At 46.0% G+C, this 20,255-nt stretch overlaps 1 long non-coding RNA gene across 1 annotated transcript in view; it reads right to left on the reverse strand.

Annotated features, from left to right (window-relative positions):
* Positions 1–13,488, reverse strand: part of LINC01019 (long intergenic non-protein coding RNA 1019) — a 118,943-nt gene extending 105,455 nt beyond the window's left edge. Inside the window, exons 1-2 of the long non-coding RNA NR_033898.1 lie at positions 13,156–13,488; positions 9,147–9,272 (exon numbers count right to left, since the gene is read on the reverse strand). This is a non-coding gene — a long non-coding RNA (long intergenic non-protein coding RNA 1019). The remainder of the gene's footprint in view (positions 1–9,146; positions 9,273–13,155) is intronic.
* Positions 13,489–20,255: the final 6,767 nt, after the last annotated feature.

The raw sequence follows: 20,255 nt of genomic DNA on the forward strand, positions 1-20,255 counted from the left end.
AGATATGAGCAGGGACTTCAGTGGTGCTGCCACAATCAAGGAACACCAAGGCCTGCCTGCTGCCACCAAGGCCAGGAATGGGCAGGGAACACATTCTCCCTGTGAGCCCCCATGAAGGAGCCAACACTGCTGACACCTTGGTTTTGGACTTCTGGCTTCCAGAGTACAGTGCTGTTGCTGAAAGCCACTCAGATTGTAGAGACTTGCCATGGCAGCCACAGTAAGAAAATACAGGGGACAGGTGTGAAAAATCATCTGCCCTCATGCGAAGGAAACTCGGATCCTCCACGCTGGCCAGTGTGGATGAAGGGGAGTCTGTATGAACGACATGGCCTGAATTGGCATTCTGGTGTTGTTATGGCATCCACGGCCATCAGCCTTCCTCCTATCTGTGGGTACATCTCTGAGCACAGGAGGGTGATACCACCAGACACTCACATGCCAGCAAGGGCTGTGGGGACCTGAGTCCTGGGCGGCTGTTGTACCTCTACCTACTTGTCCTGTAAAACAGCAAACACCTCTGCCTTCTTGCCACTCGCCTCCCATCACATCCATGTCCTCTCTCTGCATGTCTTACTTCCTCTCATCTCCTTTACTTCTCCCTCTGCCACTAAATCAGCACTGATACCAAGACGTCCCCAAACTATTAATTTCCTTTAAATGGCAGCATCTCTACCTTCCCACTTAAACTCCAAAAGGCCATTAGTCCATCTTCCTGCCATCTCCATAGCCAATTCTGCATCATCCGTGACTTTGCACTGTCAGCTTCATAGCTCTGCTGATCAAGCAATGTTCACTGCGCACTTCCTGTGGCCAGCAGGGGCTGGCAGCATCGCGCAACCTCTTGGGACAACCCACAGAGACAGCTCTGAGGCAGGGGCATCAGGCCCACATTGAATGATGATATGGCCAAGGTCAGTTTCCTTTTCCAAGGTCACACATCCAGTCTACCCTTGATATGGAAATTTCCCAATTCTAACTGTCCTCCTGTACTCGTGCCCACTCCCATCTACTAGTGATGGACTGTCTCCAAATCCCTTCTCCAGCCCTCTGTCCCCTCCAACTCCCAGGGAGAATGCATGCAGCCTCTGCCCTCTCTCCCACTGCTGTCAATCAGGCCTCTGGAATTTACCACTCTGGTCCTGCTCTCCTACCTGAGTGTCAATCCCATAACTTCCACTCCTCAGAGGGACTCTGCTGAAAACCTTCCCACCCTTCAAACACACTCAGTTGAACTCATTACCCTGGCTCTATTCTGGGTATTTTCAACCACAACTTTCTGTCTTAGTCTGTGCTGCTCTTCTTCCTTGACCCATATCCAATACTTGGGCTCAATTTTGACCCTCTGTGTGCTCTTTCACTCACTGGGCAGGTAGCTACCACAAACCGTTGTTTATCTAAGTGCCTCCAGGGTAGTTTCTCAACTCCATATCCAGGGCTCTGGCTCTTCTCTTGGTGTGCTGAATGCACCTGTCCTCACCCTACATCCACTCAGGAGCAATGCAGACTCATAGAAACAACTCCCTGTGGCCCAAGACACCATGACCGCCAGCTCTTCTTCTACTCCTCTTTCCTGACATTTCTTTCTAGTGTTGATCCGGCTACTGCCAGGGTTTTGTTCCTGACATACTCAGAGCTTTCTGCTCCATTATTTTTGGGGGGTTTGTTTTTTTTTTTTTTTGAGACACAGACTCATTCTGTAGCCAGGCTGGAGTGCAATGGTGTCATCTCTGCTCACTGCAACCTCTGCCTCCAGGGCTCAAGCGATCCTCTTGCCTCAGCCTCCTGAGTAGCTGGGACCACAGGTGTGCACCACCACACCCAGCTAATTTTTTGTATCTTTAGTAGAAATGGGGTTTCGCCATTTTGGCCAGGATGGTCTCGATCTCTTGATCTTGTGATCCACTCGCCTTGGCCTCCCAAAGTGCTGGGACTACAGGCATGAGCCACTGCACCCAGCCCATTATTAATAGCAAACATGAGCCGTTCTTTATGGAGTTCTTATTCCATTCATTGTTTCACAAGCATCACTGCTAATTCTCACCACGGCTCTGAAAGGTACCCACCACTGTGTTCATTTTTTAAATGATGAAAGAATGGCCAACAGCTTCATGAAAAAATGCCCAACATGGCTAATCATCAGGGAAATGAAAATTAAAGCCACAATGAGATCTTGCCCCACAACTGTTCAAATGGCTACTGTCAAAAAGGAAAAGGAGAGCATGCACTGGTGAGGAGGTGGGGAGAAGAAAGCCCTTGCACGCGGCTGGGGGGATGCAAATCAGTACAGTCATTATGGAAAACGCTAGGGAGATTTCTCAGCAAAATAAAACTAGAACGACCACAGGACCCAGCAAGTCCCGGTCCTGGTGTTTGTCCAAATAAAACATAGCCAGTATGTCAAATGGATATCTGCACCCCCACGTTGATTGTAGCACTATTCACAGGAGCAAAGATATGAAATCAACGTAAGTGCCCATCAAGGAAGAATGAATAAAGAAAATGTGGCATCTACACACAGTGGAATACTATACAGCCTTTAAAAAGAAGGACATCCTGTTACTTACAACAATGTGGATGAATTTGGAGGACATTATGTTAAACAAAATAAAGCCAGACACAGAAAGACAAATACTGCAATGACCTCTTGCATCCATCCATGTACGTATGCACACATGGCTATGAAGACAATTGCTGCAAGGAACTGGTTCTTGTGCTGAACTTATGAAGACTACATCCCCCTCTCTGCAGTACGCAGGAGAGCTGGTGGTGAAGGGGCAGGAGACTGATGGCTTGGCTCAAGTAGTCAGGCATGGGGAGCAAATTCACCCCTCCTCAGCCTTTTGTTCTATCCAGGCCCTCAACAGATTGGACGAGGCCCACTCATATGGGGAAGTGCCATCTGCTTTACCCAGTCTACCCATTCAAATGCTAATCTCATCTGGAAACCCTCTCACAGACACATGCAGAAATAATATTTAGCCAAAAATCTGGGCACCCCATGATCCAGTCTAGTTGACACATAAAATTCACCATCACCTGCTCTGCCAGGAACATCTGTTCCTCAGCCAATGAAATTATCCTGGCAATCATCTTATCCTGAATTGTCTTCACATGTAGTTCAAAAGTGATCTTCATGGCAACCAAGTCAGATTACCACGAATTCCACATTTTGGGGTACTCGAACACTATGATAGAGAAAGAAAAGATAACACGGGCTCATGGAATGCAAGACTCAATGTTCATGGCCCCCTTTCTCTTCCAATTCCACTCCTATTGGAGTCTTAAGCGTGACCTTGCTCAGGTACCAGCCTGCGAGCCAGAGAAGGCAATGTGACTGATCCCGCTCACTGCCCCCAGCCTTTCTCATCCCTTCACCTTGATCTCATTAAGCAAAACATAAGGAGCTGATTCCACAGCAGACAAGCAATTCGATGGGTGTAAAGTGCTTACTCATGTGAGGTAAATTAACTCCCACAAAGCATTATTCACTAATTTGCCCCACTGTAAAAATGTCATTGACTACATGGGGCTTTTTAATGTCTTAGATTTCCGGCCTAGCTGTTAGCAGCACTCAAAATACACCTTCTCTTGAACATGGAGGAGGGAAGTCTCGATAGGGGCATTCCAAATGGCAGCTTCTGCTGCATGGAATAAAATGTGTATACCGTACTAGATTTTACTGACACCCAATTCTTGAAATGTGGTTTCCATCTTCTGTGACAGGTAAGTAAATTCCATGTCATTATCATGTTAGTTGCTATTATCCAAACAGTTTTCCCATGTAAATGCTGACACCATCTAGACTTGATTTTTCTCATAATAAAAGTATCTGGTAATATCAACACATCCATGTCTTCATTATAGCAATTTTTATAGCTATTTGAGGCACATGAGATTGGAATCAGAATTTTAGAGGCTGATATTTTCTTTTCCTTTTGAAACAGCTTTTAACCAAAAATTACCTTTTATGTAATAAAAGAGTATGATTCATGAAAGGAGTTTAGCTTGAGGTTCTTTCCTCGTGGTATAAACTCTAGAATATGCTGTGCAATGCATTCAGACAGATTCATGACTCACATTTGTAGAGGTTTAGTTAGGACTATTGAGTCGTGGTGGGTTTGAGGGATGCTGGTATGAATAAAAGTTTTGTTAAGCATGTTCCTTCTTCTTTGTCTTCATTGTTTGAAGACTCTTAATGTCTGCTTTTCTCTAAAACTCTTTCTAATCCCTATAGAATAACCATTTGTTCAAAATCTCAGTTTCCTGCTCTTTGTAAAGGCAGAGGGATGAACCCACACACGTCAACACCTCAGAAACACCCCTCAGGCCCTGGCTTCCACCCCACAACCCACCTAACCCCTGCTTCAAAATGCAGCCAGCTGGGCTAGGCTTTGAGACACAGAGCTGACGGTGTTGCTTTCCAGCCTGAGGCTTGGTGGCAGCCCACAGTGACCACAGAGTCTTATACACACACACACATACACACATACACACACACACACACACAGCCCTGACAGTGGACCCTGGAGGTCTGCCCTCCACACAGGGACCCAGGCTGCCATCTCTGGTTAGCACAATCTGAGTGTCTGGAACATTCCATATTGGTTACCAAGACCAGGCATTTGGTCCAAAGGTGCCCACACCCTAAATACCACCCCTCACCAACACACACAGGTATGCACCCATCAACTCACAAGGCTGAGAAGTGTCGGGCAACTTCTCCAAATTATGACATAAATGGAATGCAGCTGTTTTACAGGGCTGGCCACACACCCATGGCAGATGCAAAGAGAGGAGGGATGCAATGCGTTCACTATTAGGATGGTAAATGTGGCTTATAGAAAAAGGCAGGAGATACATGAATGTCAAATGTTTTAAGAGTGTGGACAAGTGTTCAGCCAGGTTGAATACCACTGCATCTATAATACAGCTTAATATAAGACTGATTTAGAATGGCGTTTTGAGATTACCAAACAATAACACCTGAAGCAATAATATAGCAAAGACTTATCAGTGTAATTTATTATACTGCCTTATGAACGTATGGTATGGATTTTAAGATATAGTATACAATAAAAGTTATCTTAGAAAGAGTACATATCTAAGACATACTCTATACGATGACAAGATTGTTTGCTATATAATAGGAAAAACCAACTAAGAACTCCAGTTTCACCGCAAATGGAAACATCATCCATGAACCTGACCCAACACCCAAGTGTCTAAATGAAAATGAAAGCTTCCGATAAGAGCTCAGGTCTTCAGATGAGGCACCAACCTGGCCCTGGCTCCTTACAACCCTACAACCAACTCTGAACTGGGTAAAATAAGACACATTTTAATTGTTATTGCATAATTAATCCACATGCCTATATCTCTTGTGTGCTTGGTTCAAAAAATGACCTGGATGGCTCAGAAAGGTAATTTATATGAATCAGAACAAGATTTAGCCAGGGTTCTGTTACTGCTGGCTTGTCTAAGTGCTGGTCTTCTGCGTCAACTATTGATGAACTAGAACAGAGTCATGTTCCTTAAAAAGTCCTCAACCCAGCCAGGCATGGTGGCTCATGCCTGTAATCCCAGCACTTTGGGAGGCTGAGGCAGGTGGATCGCCTGAGATCAAAAGTTGGAGACCATCCTGGCCAATAGAGTGAAACCCAATCTCTACTAAAAATACAAAAAACTTATCTGTGCATGGTGGCAGGCACCTGTAATCACAGCTACTAGGGAGGCTGAGGCAGGAGAATTGCTTGAACCCGGGAGGAGGAGGTTGCAGTGAGCTGAGATTGCGCCATTGCACTCCAGCCTGGGCAACAGGAGCAAAACTCCATCTAAAAAAAAAAAAAAAAAAAATCCCCAACCCCCTGTCAAGTTCTATACGCTTTCTCTCTCAACACACAAGCTGGGCCAGTGTTTTTACCCGTGCTGGGAACCACAGCTGAGCCCAGGATGGACAGACATGGAAGTGAACCACACGTGGCTCGGCCCCCGGCTGCATAGCCTTCATCTTCCCTCTAAGGACTTTCCAGTTACCAATTTGTTCTCAGTTTAATTGTCTTTATATTTAGCTTTATATTCAGACAGCTACATTTCTGAATTTCTCCAGGTAATTAATTGTCTCCTGCTTCCTATGAATAATGTTCTTTCTGCAGGAAGAGTCAGCACCATCTTGTGGGTCTAGAAAACTGTAAAGCTCCCCAAGGTCATGTTTTATGAGGGTGCTGAATTCAGAAGCCAGTTCTAAGATATAATAAGAACATAAGTAAAGACATCATCCAAATGATGGCTGCTATACATATTAAAGAGTAGGTTTAGTAAACCTTAAAATATGGATCATAATTACATTAATATGCAAATAATTATTTAATAATTATCCAATTATCTTCATGTGTCACGGGTCCAAGAATTGAAGAGAACCTTCTACTCAAGGCTTCTCTCTGCTGATCATAGCACAGTTGTACGTGATTTTGATCATAGATGTTCTTTTGCTAGAAACCACAAGGCAGGGGATGAAAACTCTACACAAACCAGTGTTTAGTGCAGCATCACGGAGGCCATTGAATAGTAGGGTCCTATAAGATTCCACAACTCCATCACTTTGAGAGCATTGCCAATAATACTGACTCCTGGTGATGAGTGACTTACTAAGGAAATTATAGATTATGTTGAGAGTTTTCTATGTTGTTTCTTTCTTTTTTTTTTCCCCCTAAACGTAAAAGTATCTAACAAATTTGGGAAGAGTTTCATCCAATGTGCTACTTTTTCTTTATGCTTTGACACTTAGGTGAACGCAGAGTTTCTCTAGAACATGCAAGTCACATGGCTTCCTAGTGAATTAGGTGTTACAATAATTAAAGCAATACCAGATACCAGGTAAGACTTCTTCCTGCAATGAGAGCTACATATTTATAAAATAGTTGAGTTGCTCACAGTAGATGGGGTAAGTGCCTAGGGATTACTCAGAAGACAAACCAGTAGAGGCAAGAGGAGGAAATGGGTCACCTGCTTCCTTTTCTCCCTCTTACTTCTTTTCTAGTTACTATGAAACAGACTTCCTTCTTCCCAGGCAGAGGAAAGCCCCCTCTTTTCTCTCCTTCTCCCTCAGCACCTTCTAGGCAGCCCAAACACTAGATTTTTAAGCCCCTAATACTCACAGAAAAGAGAAACCAATGGATTGATGACTTCGAAAATCTAAGAAGAAATCGTTAACGACCCCACTCTGCTAGTGTAAGTGAGTTCACAGCTTGGACCGCTGCAATCAGTGGCTCCGTTTTCAACATTATTTAAGGCAAAAACTATAAAAACAAAAGTAAAGTAGAAGCCGGGGTGCGGGAAAAGATCACAGACTCTGAAATAATAAACCAGACACAGAGAATCATGGGGGGAGCTGGAAAGACACCCCAGTGAAAGCCAACGAAAACCTAAAATAAATTACAGACACTAAAGCCAAGAAGCCCTTGATGAATGTAATAGGATATAGAAAGTTACTTTGATAACTGTGCTCATTATTCTCAGGAATTTATAACATATTTTGAATAAAAATAATTAAACTAGAAAAATGTTGTTCAACAGTACCACCTGCATTTAGCCCCCACTCTCCAAATTACTTCTATGGAAAATTCCTCGCTTCTATTTGTAATTAATTAATACATGTTGTCTCTCATTTTAAGTGATTGGAAAATTACTTGTCTCCCATCTCAGAAGACGGTTATTCACATTAGTTTGAAGAACATGAAACAGCCTATATTTGAACCTGTTTGACCCATAAGAAAGGTCAATTTCATCTGGTTCATGGTAATGCATATGCTGATGCCTTCTTTAGTAAAGAAATATGCATCCTCCTCCAAAGTACTTCTATGCATAATCTTCTCTTGCAAAAATTACCCACTTGCAAGGCAAAGGCAGTGACCCAAAGCTTGAACCACTTATGATATTGGGACAAAACCCTTTCTCCATGCACAGTTTGCAAAAGAAAATGGAACTGAGGAGCTTAGAAGTCAGTGGGTGTCGGGATATGCAGGGAGTATAGAAATGAAGTCTTGAATAAACTGGGTGAGAAGTAGATTCCTTTTGATTGTTGTCTCTTGCTTTTTAATGTTCTCAGAAAACGGCTGTATCTTTCAGAGTCTCTCAAGGATTTTTAGATAAAAAGAGAGGTTTTATCTTTGCATGTCTATAAGCAGTGAAAAACTCCGGAGACCAAAACCTACAGGCAATTCAAATAAACTAAATCCGATCAAGGTAATATCAATGCCAGAATTAGAAGAAAACCCAGAGAGAATATCAATAACAACATTAAAACAGCAGGTTTCAACTGGAATCAATAGACAGAATAAACAGAAAAAATTAAGTCACAAAGTGTTAGCAGATAAAAGCTCCCCACTCATTAAAATTCTGTTTGTCTTTGTGTCTTTTTATCAATGTACCTATATATCCGTGCAAGTGTATCAAAGTTTGTAATGTAAAAGAATGATGAAATAATCTAATTAATTTCCGGTGTCATTCTACATATTTCTTTCAAGTTGAAACTGCAATATTAACAATGGTTTGCAGTTTAATAAAATATCTTTATGTCCTATTAACTCATATATCAGCTTGTTATAAAAGCCACTTTCTATCAAATAGCTAAACTTCAAAAGAGTTTTGCTTTGATCAGAAAGAAAAAATCACGTTCATTCCATTTGTACTGAATAACCTCGCTCAGTTTTATAGAAAGGCAGTTGTCTGTAGCTGCTGAGCTCTCATGAAAGATATTCCAATGGGCAAAAAAATAAAAAAGATAGAATATATTGAGGGAACCATTGAGCAAGGGAAGTGTGCTTTTAACTTCAATAGGCAGGGGAAACTGGCTTTTGAGAGCACAGCAATCCCCAGCAGAGAAGGCCCCAGGAACCTCCCAGAGCACAGACAGGTACCAGCCCTAGAGTGGAATCTCAGGAATGCCACCTCCACTAAAATTCCAACTGCTAGATTTTTTTTTTTTTTTTGAAGTCTCAAATCCTTCCCATTGACAAGTTTCGTTGGGGTAGCAAAGAATTTTTAAACAACGCTCCTTAGTTGCCACAATGTAAAAATTCTCTTGACTGCAAGATGTGCCCCCATGCCACGTCCAGAGGTCTGGGCAGGTCTCTGTCTCACCTTACCTCTCATCGCTGGACACTTTCCCTTCTGCGTCTCTGCCAGTGCCGTGTGCCAGGCATGATTCTGCAATATCCAGGTTATTCAAGAAGGTCAGGGGCTTCCTCAGGTTTTTCCCTTCAGTGTAGCAGCTGAAATAGAAGTTGAAAATGAAACTGGCTTTATTTGTTTCGTATTTTTTCCAAAAGAGACTCCAAATGCACCTGTTCTTCTTGGAACAAACCTGAGTGGTCAACGGTTCTGGGAAGGACAAATGTGAGGGTCCCTAGAAAGGGTCTGCATTGACATTCCTGGTCTCCTTGGATGTCAGCAGAAGTCTTGTGTTGCCAGCACAAATACACGTCTATCCCGGACCCCCAGCAGGTGTGTGGCATTGCCTGCAGCACATTCTAATGCTACCTGGGCAACGTGCTTTGCCTCTCACAAATAGAAAGAAGCTTAGGCCTAATGAGGAGATAAGGTTTGATGGCAAGAAAGTGCCCTGAATCGCAGAGACAGAACCCTGGCAGCAAGGCACCGACTTCGGGAATCCTAAGTTTCACAGTCAAAGAAAATGCCAAGTATGAAAGTATTAGTCTAGAAAATGAGCCTGAAAAAAATTGGGGTGTTGAGAATGAGAACGATGACTGTGGAGTGGAGTGGGGTGATAGTTTCACTCTAGGAGGATCCCAGAACCCTGGTCTCTGAAGGGAGTGGGGCAGTGCTTCTCTACTGGTATATAATTTTATAATTTTATTCATGTTGAAACTTTAACTTCAGAGACCACCCTGACAAACTGATAAGAATGCCTTTGCTACGGGACCTTCCTGTATATTCTGGGGTACAGGCTTTTGTTGTGTTGGTAAACCTCCTCCACAGAGCGGCATCCCCAGCTACCAACCCCTATGTCCCACCAGGGACCTCTAATCACTGTGGTGGCTGAAAGCACTTCCAGACCTTTCCAGAGCCCACGCCCACCTGCATTTCAGGGAGAAAGTTGTATTTCCCCACTTCTTAACTAATTCAGGCCACATCTGGGCACTCTTTTGTAAATCTTAACTTTGTTCTCTCAACAATATTAATAGCATTTTTTTCAAGGTGCCTCTTGACATTTTCCTTCCATTTTTTTCATTCTGATATTTCTGTTCAAAAACAGCCAATGGACTGTCACAGTCTCCAAAAGTCATTTCCAAAATGGAGGCTGTAAGCAAGTTGATCAATTGAGATGCAGGACAAAAGTTAGCAATTAAAGCCTAGAGAAATTAAGCTTCCTAATGGTTTTATATTGACAATAGTCTGTGTATGTAATTTCTAAATAATTTTTCATATATTGAAGATTTTCGCTCATTTTTTTTTCCACACATGGAGTGAAAAATTGTAAAACTTGGAGATACTATTAGTGTACCACAATGGTTCTCAATCCAGGGTGATCTGGGTTCCTGGGCCAGGTCTGGAGACACTTTGGCCCTCACATCGGAGGGGGTTCTGCTGGCATCCAGGTGGTGGGGGGATGCAGGGATGCTGTCAGGTGGCCTGCAGTGTACAGGTCAGCGCCCCCATGCAAAGAACCACCCGGCCCAAAATGTCTATGGCACTGAGGTTGAGAAACTCTGGTCTGCCAATTTAATCAAAAAGGTTTTGGCCTGAAGATGAGGGCCCCACAGTGTGGTCGTGTCCTATAAAGCTAAGAGCATCTGGGGCCCCTCCCAGAGGCGGTGCTCAGCCAGTATTCCTGTGCACTCCTAGAGCCTTTGCTCATTTCATTCCAGGACCCAGCTTGTAAGGATCCCATTCAAGTTTCCTCACACCCCCGTCAAAGCCCACCCAAGTCTTCCTGCTCCTGTGTGAGTAGCGGGCCTAGCCTCCTTAGTGGGGCTGCTCCATGGCTTGACTTTGTGATGTGCTCATTGGTTTCCTCCATCCAGATGGGGTGTGCAGGAAGAAGTGACTGCTGACTTTGCAACCCAACTGGGTCAAGGGTTTTTGAAGCTGAATGGATCCAACTCCCTCATTTCACAAACGAGGAGCCCAAGGCCCAGATGACCTCACATTTCTAGATCACAGCACAGTTACCCCAATAGCAGAGGGAAACCCACATGCTCCAATCCCCAGTACTTCCTCCCGCAGGCCCTCATGCCATCTTTAACAGAAACAGACGGAACAACCTTTCTAAACAAGGCATTTTGCATTAGGACAGAATTGTATCTCCTCTACAACAAACTTATTTTCATTTGAAGATATTTGCCTCATGTCTGGGCAACACGGACGCTGTTGCACAGACAAGAGCCTGCTGTTTCTTTTGATGATCAGTAAGACAAAATTCTAACTCATTTTCCCCAAATCAAACAAAGAAACACTTCGTAAACCTGTCTGTGGGCTGGGGACTGGATAAATCCCTGTCTGATCACCTCATTAGACTGTTACAACCATCTATGGAAACATGGAAATTATCTCACATTTTGGCTCTCGATCCTTCTCACATTGTTTTAAAATGTGAACAGAGTACTCCAAGCTCACCATCAGCAAAAGGACAGCTTCCCCTGGCAGGGCTGTGCTATCTCCAGCCAGATCCAAGGATTGGAACACCATACGGCTGAGCTCAGTTCCAAAGAAAACTTAACTGTGTTGGGTGTAACCTGTCCGAGTCAAATTCTGCATGTGACCAAAACGAATAAAGGCCAAAGACACATGCACACGTATGTTTATTGTGGCACTATTCACAATAGCAAAGACTTGGAACCAACCCAAATGTCCATCAATGATAGACTGGATTAAGAAAATGTGGCACACATACACCATGGAATACTATGCAGCCATAAAAAGGATGAGTTCATGTCCTTTGCAGGGACATGGATGAAGCCGGAAACCATCATTCTCAGCAAACTATCACAAAGACAGAAAACCAAACACCGCATGTTCTCACTCATAGGTGGAAATTGAACAATGAGAACACTTGGACACGGAGGCGGGAGGGGGCGGGGAGGGCTGCGAACATCACACACGGGGGCCTGTGGGGCTGGGGGAGGGGATAGCATTAGGAGAAATACCTAATGTAAATGAGTTGACGGGTGCAGCAAACCAACATTGCACATGTATACCTATGTAACAAACCTGCATGTTGTGCACATGTACCCTAGAACTTGAAGTATAATAAAATAAATAAATAATTCAATAAAGGGAGTTGCTCAAAAAAAACAGCGGCTAAGCTTTTCAAAACCCAGGTTTCCCAACACCACAGAGATTAAGGGAAATTGAGCCTTCCTTACTGAATCCTTATCTCCTGCTTGATGGTGTCATAACAAGTCTTGGCTCCTGGTTTGGACCTGACATTTACTGCCCATCAAGCGCGTCCTGAGGCAAGGTCCACACAATGTAGACATGTGACCTGACTCAAAATCTCCATGAATCGCTGAGTCACTCGACCACTGCCTTCCTAGCGGCTTCTCAGGAACACCTGTGGGCTAAGAATGAACCTGGACGAGGAGATCAGAAGGCACTGCCATCTCCTTATTTTAATAGGATCCCCAGAAAGCGAACCCTTCAAGGCCTGGGCACCCAACATTCCCGTCTGCACAGACCTTGCAAGGAAGGCCTGGCCGGCCAAGCGCCGGCCTCACAGCTGCATGTTGTTACAAATCTCTCAGTGGGACCTTCCTCCCGGAAGAGCGTTCGCGTGTAAAATGTGTTGTGTACCATTCTTCACCACGATACTAAGGCAGAGAATGCAGTGAGTGGAAGAGAGCGTGCAATAAGCATAGGCATGCACGTGTCTCCCCTAATGCACATGCAGCGACTTCTCTCCCGCGAGCTTATGGGAAACGCCCTGCGCAGCTGACCAGTCATCCGACGTTGCGGAGAGCAGCGTGGGTCCGAGGGAAGGCTGCGGCCGGGGACGCCCAGACTGGAGGCCTTGTCTGCCCCACCCAGCCTCGGACTTCTCAGGCTTCTCGGCCCGAGGGAGAAACATTTTGAAATTCTTTAAGAAGCAAGTTTTCCGTGGGCTGAGTGGACTTCTAGGGCCCTGACCACACTGACCTGGGCTTGTCGAGCTCTGCCCGCAGGCCCCTCGAGGTCTGGGTTTCGGCCCCATGGCCGTGGCTGTGCTTGGAAGGCCCCGGGAGCAGCCAGGGAGCGCGGTGCCTGCCCTCCACGGCGGCCGCCTGCGGGGAACAGGGCAGCGTCCAGCAGGCGGAAGGCGAGTGAGGCAGAGTGAAGCACACAGAGCCAAACCATATCACCGCCACCCCGTGTGACTGAGGTCAGGGCTTGCCTTTGAGGCCCAGGGTCAGCTGGGGACTAGCAGGAGCTCTAATCTCGCGCTGCGTCAGGGCGGGAACTGCAAGAGGCCGCCCCCGGCAGGCCGCGCATGCGCACTCCCGCGCGCACGCTCACCCGCGCTGACCCGGCTACGCTGGACCCAGGTGCGGGGACCCAGGTGCGCTGGACCCAGGCGTGCGCCACCGCCACCTCCTGCGCCTACACCCCGAGAGCGGCCGCCGCCAGCAGTGGCATCCGGGCTGTCCCAAGTCATCCTTCGTCTGTTTCAGTGTCTTTATGAAGCACTAGCTTTGAGGGATGAAAACGTCCACATGGATGCAGGGTCTGATGTTTATGGAAGGTTTGTGCCCAATGCAATCAGCTGTTGGCTCAGCCTGAAGATCGCTGGGATAATATTCCTGGGGTCCGAGTATAATACGCCCGGCATACACTTTCCCATGCATTAGGGTTTGGAAGTTGGATAACAAATATATTGTTAATCTAACAGAAAAACAGGACTTTAAAAATATAAGTGAGTAATTTGAGAGCACTCTCAAAACATAATGTTATCTAAAACAAGGAAATATTGCTTTCTCCCAGCTGACCTCATCCTTCCCTTGCAAAAGAATATCTGTCTAGGCTCACACTGCGGAATCCAAGAAAAAGTAAATATGGCAAGTACTTTCCACTCGGGAGCCTGTGGGAGTGTGGACGGGAGGGGTGGGCTGTAGGCCACAGAGGGCAGCTGCTTCTACTTGAGGGGTACATGGGGCCCCTCGGCAAACAAGCTGCTGTTAGGGCAAAGAGGACTTTCCTCGGCTTCTTGGCTAAGCACTAAAAACCCGAATCAGAAATGAAATGAATATGTTTTAACTTTAACTTATGATTATATTTGAGCTTGCTTGGTATAGTGATATGAAGTGCAAGCAAAAGTCCCCAACTCGCAAGACTGTTCCCTCCTAAATGTTTCTACTAGACTTCGGGATGCTTTGATGCCAGAGTCCCCACTCAGGAATGCCTGCTCCACAGGGAAAAGCCTCCTGCTCTACCGTGAACCCCACCGGTCCCCTTACCCAGTAGGTTCATGCGCAGTAAGTGCTCAGAGCTGCATGGTGAACGAGACAGAAAGACATGACACCCTGGAAGGATAATCCTGGAAGGATAACCCTGTTTAGTTTCCCCTATAGAGGACATAACTTAGATTCCCGCAATGCAAGGATCAGAAGAGGCTTTCCTATTGACCCAGCTCAAACTCCTCTTTTCCCAAGTAAGGGAAAGGAGGCTCAGACATTTTGAGCCACTCACCCAGTTTCACAGAGGGAAACAAAGGCAGGCCCTGAACTCCGTCACACAGTGGGTCTGATATGGTTTGGCTCTGTGTCCCCACCCAAATCTCATCAAGAATTGTGGAAGGTGATTGGATCATGGGGGCGGTTGCCCCTGTGCTGCTCCTGTGATTATGAGTGAGTTTTCACAAGAGCTGATGGTTTTAAACGGTGGCACTTCTTTGCTCTCTGTCTCACCTGCCACCATGTAAGACCTGCCTTGCTTCCCCTTCGCCTTCTGCCATGATTGTAAGTTTCCTGAGGCCTTCCCGGCCATGTGGAACTGTGAATCAGTTAAACCTGTTTTGTTTATAAATGATCCAGTCTCAAGTAGTTCTTTAAAGCAGTGTCGAAACAGATGAATCCAGGGGCCCAGCTGTTCTGGGGCCTGTGGATTTTGTTCTTACTCCCTCTCCTATACAGCATAACTCCTGTCCCTTAGGGAAAGCCGTACACGCCCACCAGTCTCCCTGATATACTTTAGCATTTGGCTACTAATAGTGGAGCAAGGCTCAGGGCAAGGATCACATTTAGCTTGACTCAAAGAAAGCAGATGCCGGAGAAGCCCGTGCCCGCTTTGGCTGGGGACTCTGAGGAAGTGGAGGGAGCGTTTCACGGGAATCCGGCAAATTCCATCACCTCATTCACATTATCTGTGGCTCACTCTGTGATTATGAAGTTAAACCGATTAAACCATTTCCAGGTAGCCCACTGCGTATATGTTTACCTATGCATGTAGGTCCCTTATACTCTGTGCAAATGCCCTTACCTACATGACACAGGTGTCCAGGTGCTATGCAAAGGCACAGGTGCCATGCAAAGGCACAGCCTCCCCTGCAGCCCATGCCCCACGCCTACGGCTGGCTCACAACCTCCACTCGTATCAGACGCTGCCACTGACAGGTGTCAGCTCTCCAGGCCTAGGTGGTGCACCCCGGTTTTTAGTCGGGGGCCATTGATTTCCTTCTGCTTGTGGCAATCTTCTACCACAGTTGCCATGCAGCAGCTTCAGCCAACAGGAACTTGGCTTCAGGGACAGACTCCTCAGCCCCTCCTATGGGCCTTGCCTGGCACTCTGCTTACCATGGGGATGTGATGTCCCCAGACAGCAGCACCCTGGCAGTGGCTGGGCTGCCCCACAGGGGGGCACACAGGGGACCCCACAGCCCCACCCCTGCATCCTCATCCCCACCTCCCCACACTGGAGGCTCCACTGAGGGTTCCTCTTGTCTTAGGACCCCCTGTGCTCTACTCAGAAATCGGGCTGAGGACAGACACTCCCCACCCAGGTTCAGCAGCCTCAGGAGCAAGGGGTCACACCTGAGTCTGGGAACGCATCGGTCACCAAGGCCGCAGGGTTGACCCCAGGCCTGTCTTTGGAGGGAGACCCACTCTTGCTGGGCAGGGGCTGGGGACACAAACAGGCTGAGCCTAAGACCTTGGTGTTCCCGGGCTGTCTGGCCTGCAGTGTTGGTGGATTTCAGCAGTGTGTGGGACAGCCACTGGAGTCCACAGGGGCCTAGGGGGCTACTCCACTTCTTGTTCTTTGGTGAAAAGTGACACTCCACAGTGTCATAAGGAGGGGAAGGAGGCTGCCCAGCAGGGGCCCAGGCTCAACCCCAGGAACTGCAGCTCCCCAGGAACATCCAGCCTGGCCACCAGGAGAGGAAGGGACGCTCGGGTCCTCTGATGCCCACGGGCCTTCTGCGTGTGGAAGGCAGAGGTCTGATGCGTCCCTGCCTGAGTTCTTCCTCCTGGACAAGGAAGACAGGAAGAAGATGGACGGTGCCTGTGCACAGGTGAAGAAGCCCAGACATGCATTCCCAGCACTTACTACCCGCAGCCCCAGCCTTCTTCCCCTTGTCCTTGCCCTTGCCCTGAAATGCAGATGCCTCAAGGGCAGGCATAGGGTCCTCTTAGCTCTGACCCAGGGCTTCATCCAGCGCCTGGTACACAGTGGGTGCTTAATAAACATCCATGACCCATGACCGCAAACATGGAATGCGGGAAAGGCAGAGCAGGAAAGACGCTGTCATCGTCACATCTGCAGATAAGTGCCAATAAACATGCAAATGATAGATCTGGAAATGCTCTTCTTACTTTCCAATTCAATTCCAGGAACCCGGGGGGTAAATCTCTATAAATTATAGTGAAGTGTGACTTGTAAATAACATTTTTCTGACATCCCCAAAGCATTGCTGCATCTTTGGAGTTTATAAATTGTTGATGCAAATGAGTTTCTATAACCATTTCGTAGCTCATAAAAATAATACTTCCAGCAGGATTGGGAATCAGGTATACTTCCAAGCTCAGGAACATGGTGACTTGGGGTCTGGAAGGGCTGGTTGTAATTTGGCTGATCTCGTGCTCTTGAGAGTCAAGCAAGTGAGGTCTGTTGGGAGGATGGAGCCCATGAGTAAGAAGGGCTGGGTCACTAGCCATCACCTGCTCCCTGGCACCTTCTCTGCTCTGCATCTCAGGGCTGCATTGGGAAGAGCTACGTGGTCCTTCTCTTGCTCACTCACTGAACATGAACTCAGAGCTTTACTTCCCAAGTACTGGGAGTTGTGCTAGGGGTTAGAAGCACTAAAATGTTCAGGACCCCACCTGAGCCCAGGAAGGACCATGCAATTGAGTGAGATTGGCCCGGCACACCAGCACCGTGCAATACAAGTGGGGGAGAGAGCATGCGCCCTGCCCAGCGGTTGCTGCTGGAGGGAGGCTTAGCTTCCAGGTTGCCTAAAGGATGCCAGAGGGTCACTAGCAGACATGGCAGGAGACGCTGGGCTAGACAGGAATAAACTCATGGAATTGGAATTATGAGGACAAAGTACCCTTAGGTGGTTGCCTGATACTCAGCATGGCTAAAGTTTCCATCTAACAGTGGTCTGGCTGCAGAGGAGGCTGGTGGTCTGGGGGGCACGGAAAGGGAAGGGAAGCCTTTGGTTCCATGATGACCTGGAGTCCTCCTTCCATTCATAAACTTGGGAAAAGGAGTCTCATCAAAAAAGGGAGTGAATGCACAGTCCTTTCCCACTTTGCAGACAGCATCTCATGTCATTGCCATTAAGAAAAATGAGAACCTCATCATTTACAGTTAAGGAGATCTGTAGGAAGGGATTATCACGCAAGGGACATTGTTAGCAAAAGCCACTTGTGAATTGGACTTACCTCTCCATGCATGGCTCCTTCAGGAACCATGCAGGCAGGTGTTGTTCTAAGCCGCATTCCTGGAAAGTCCTGTATGGACATGGAACAATTTATTTCTAAGGGTGCCTGTGGGACTAAGGTCAAAGCCTCATGTCAAAGGCTTCAAGACCTGGATCATTTCACTATGGTGGTGTTTTCTCCTCTCATGCGTCATACTGTTGCATAAACTAGGGGAAAATAGTTTTAAGTGGAAATAATTTCTGATTTATCCTACCAACACAAGCACACACAAAATAAAACCTGACTCACATAGCACATGTACACATACACACATACACATACACAGGCGGACACACACACAGACCTCTGGGTATGCAGGTGACAACCATGTTCTAAATAAAACGTTAGCAGCCTGAGCTAGCAGTGGTTTAAAGATGACATATTGTGACCAGGAGGATGAAAACCATGTGAGACAATGATAAACTTTACATAGATTTCTGAATTTTTTAGTGGGTTAGGAGAAAGCTCTTTAACTTCCTACAGGTATATACCTATACCTGTATCTCGATGTGTGTACCTGTGTGTGCATACACATATATGTGCCCATATATAGATACATGTAGATATACGTATATAAGCAGCATGCCTCACCGTACAGTCATTTCTACACACTGAAATCAAATAGCCACAGCACATGTTGAACTGGATGCTGACACACTACCAGGAACACCAGCAATCCGCCCTCGCTGCCATCACAATGCAACCCTGGCCTCCCCACCAGGGAAGCAAACACCCGCTGTCATGAGACTGTCCTCCCTGTTTACAGGTGATGCTCCTAAGCGACTCCAACCCTTCTTATTTTACAAGTGCCCTGATCTCAATAACAAATATGTGATCTTCCTAGCTAAGAAATAACATGAAGTTACAAGATATTGGGGAAAACAGTCCAAACATATTTTTTTCTGATTTTGATAACTTTTCAAAAAGAAATCAGGATAATCAAATGAAAAAAGGATTTGAATTCATAAGAAAGCTCAATGTCTAAATATATGTTTAAAAATATAGTTTCCTTCTGTAGGGCAGCAGTAGTTTAGAAATACAGTGGAAAATGATCCTAGCACTAATAATGATAATTGTAAAACACTTATGTTAAAAAATTATGTTAAAAAGAATGTTAAACTTATGTTAAAAAGAATGTTAAAAAACATGAAAGGAGATAAAGAATTAGCTAAGTAATTAAGGAGACATCCATTCTTCCAGATGAGAAGACTCCATATTAGAAAGATGCCCAGGCCGGGCATGGTGGCTCACGCCTGTAACCCCAGCACTTTAGAAGGCTGAGGTGGGTGGATCACCTGAGGTCAAGAGTTCAAGACAAGCCAGGCCAACATGGTGAAACCCCGTCTCTACTAAAAATACAAAAATTAGCTGGGCATGGTGGTGGGTGCCTGTAATCCCAGCTACTCAGGAGGCTGAAGCAGGAAAATCACTTGAACTTGGTAGGTGGAGGTTGCAGTGAGCTGAGATGTTGCCATTGTACTCCAGGCTGGGTGACAAAGTGAGACTCCATCTCAAAAAAAATAATAATAATAAATGAATAAGTATGCCCAAACTAATCTATAAATTAGACTAAAGGCTTCTGCCCTATAAAAAAGCCACGTTTTACTTGAAATGTTTATTCCAGACTTCCAGAATAAAAGCAGAAATACTCAAGAAAGTTCTATTTGTGATTATTATATGTCATGCATTGGTCTAAAACCTTTCCCACATACAGTAAGTCATCTGATACCACCCTGTGAAATGGATACTATCACTGTGCCCATTTTATAGATGAGAACACTGAGGTATGCAGAGGTCAGTCACTCTCAGCTCTTAACATTTGTGAACAACACTGATGCTCACCACCCCCAAAAACCGCAACCACAGCATGCTTTACCATGAGAGAGCTGAGTCATGGAGATGCCCCAGGCCAGTCTCATTCCCAGGATGGATGGCAGGGACAGCCCAGGTCACATTTTGTGTGCTCCTGCTGCAGAGCAACCAGGCATAGAACGAGCTCCCACCAGCCTGCCCACGGCTGCATGCTCAGGCTCTCTCAGGACACAGACACGTGTTCCTCCAGCACCTCTGCCTCAACCACAGGAAGACAGGAGATCACGGCAGCCTGTGGAGTTTTACACAAATCGTTTGTGTGACTGTGTACATTTTTTTGTGTAAAATCCTTCACTTCAAGAAACTATAACCATCCTCTCCATTCCCCGGCAGAAAAATAAACAGGTATAGAGATATAAGATATAATTTATTGATTTAAAGACATAAATCCCTGCTCTCCAGCTACCCAGTGTAGTATCCTGTGGCATTCTGTCTTCCGTTGTTGCAGACGCTATCGAGGTGTCACCTTCA

The sequence above is a fragment of the Homo sapiens genome, chromosome 5 (assembly GCF_000001405.40).
Source record: "Homo sapiens chromosome 5, GRCh38.p14 Primary Assembly".
Lineage (NCBI taxonomy): Eukaryota > Metazoa > Chordata > Mammalia > Primates > Hominidae > Homo > Homo sapiens.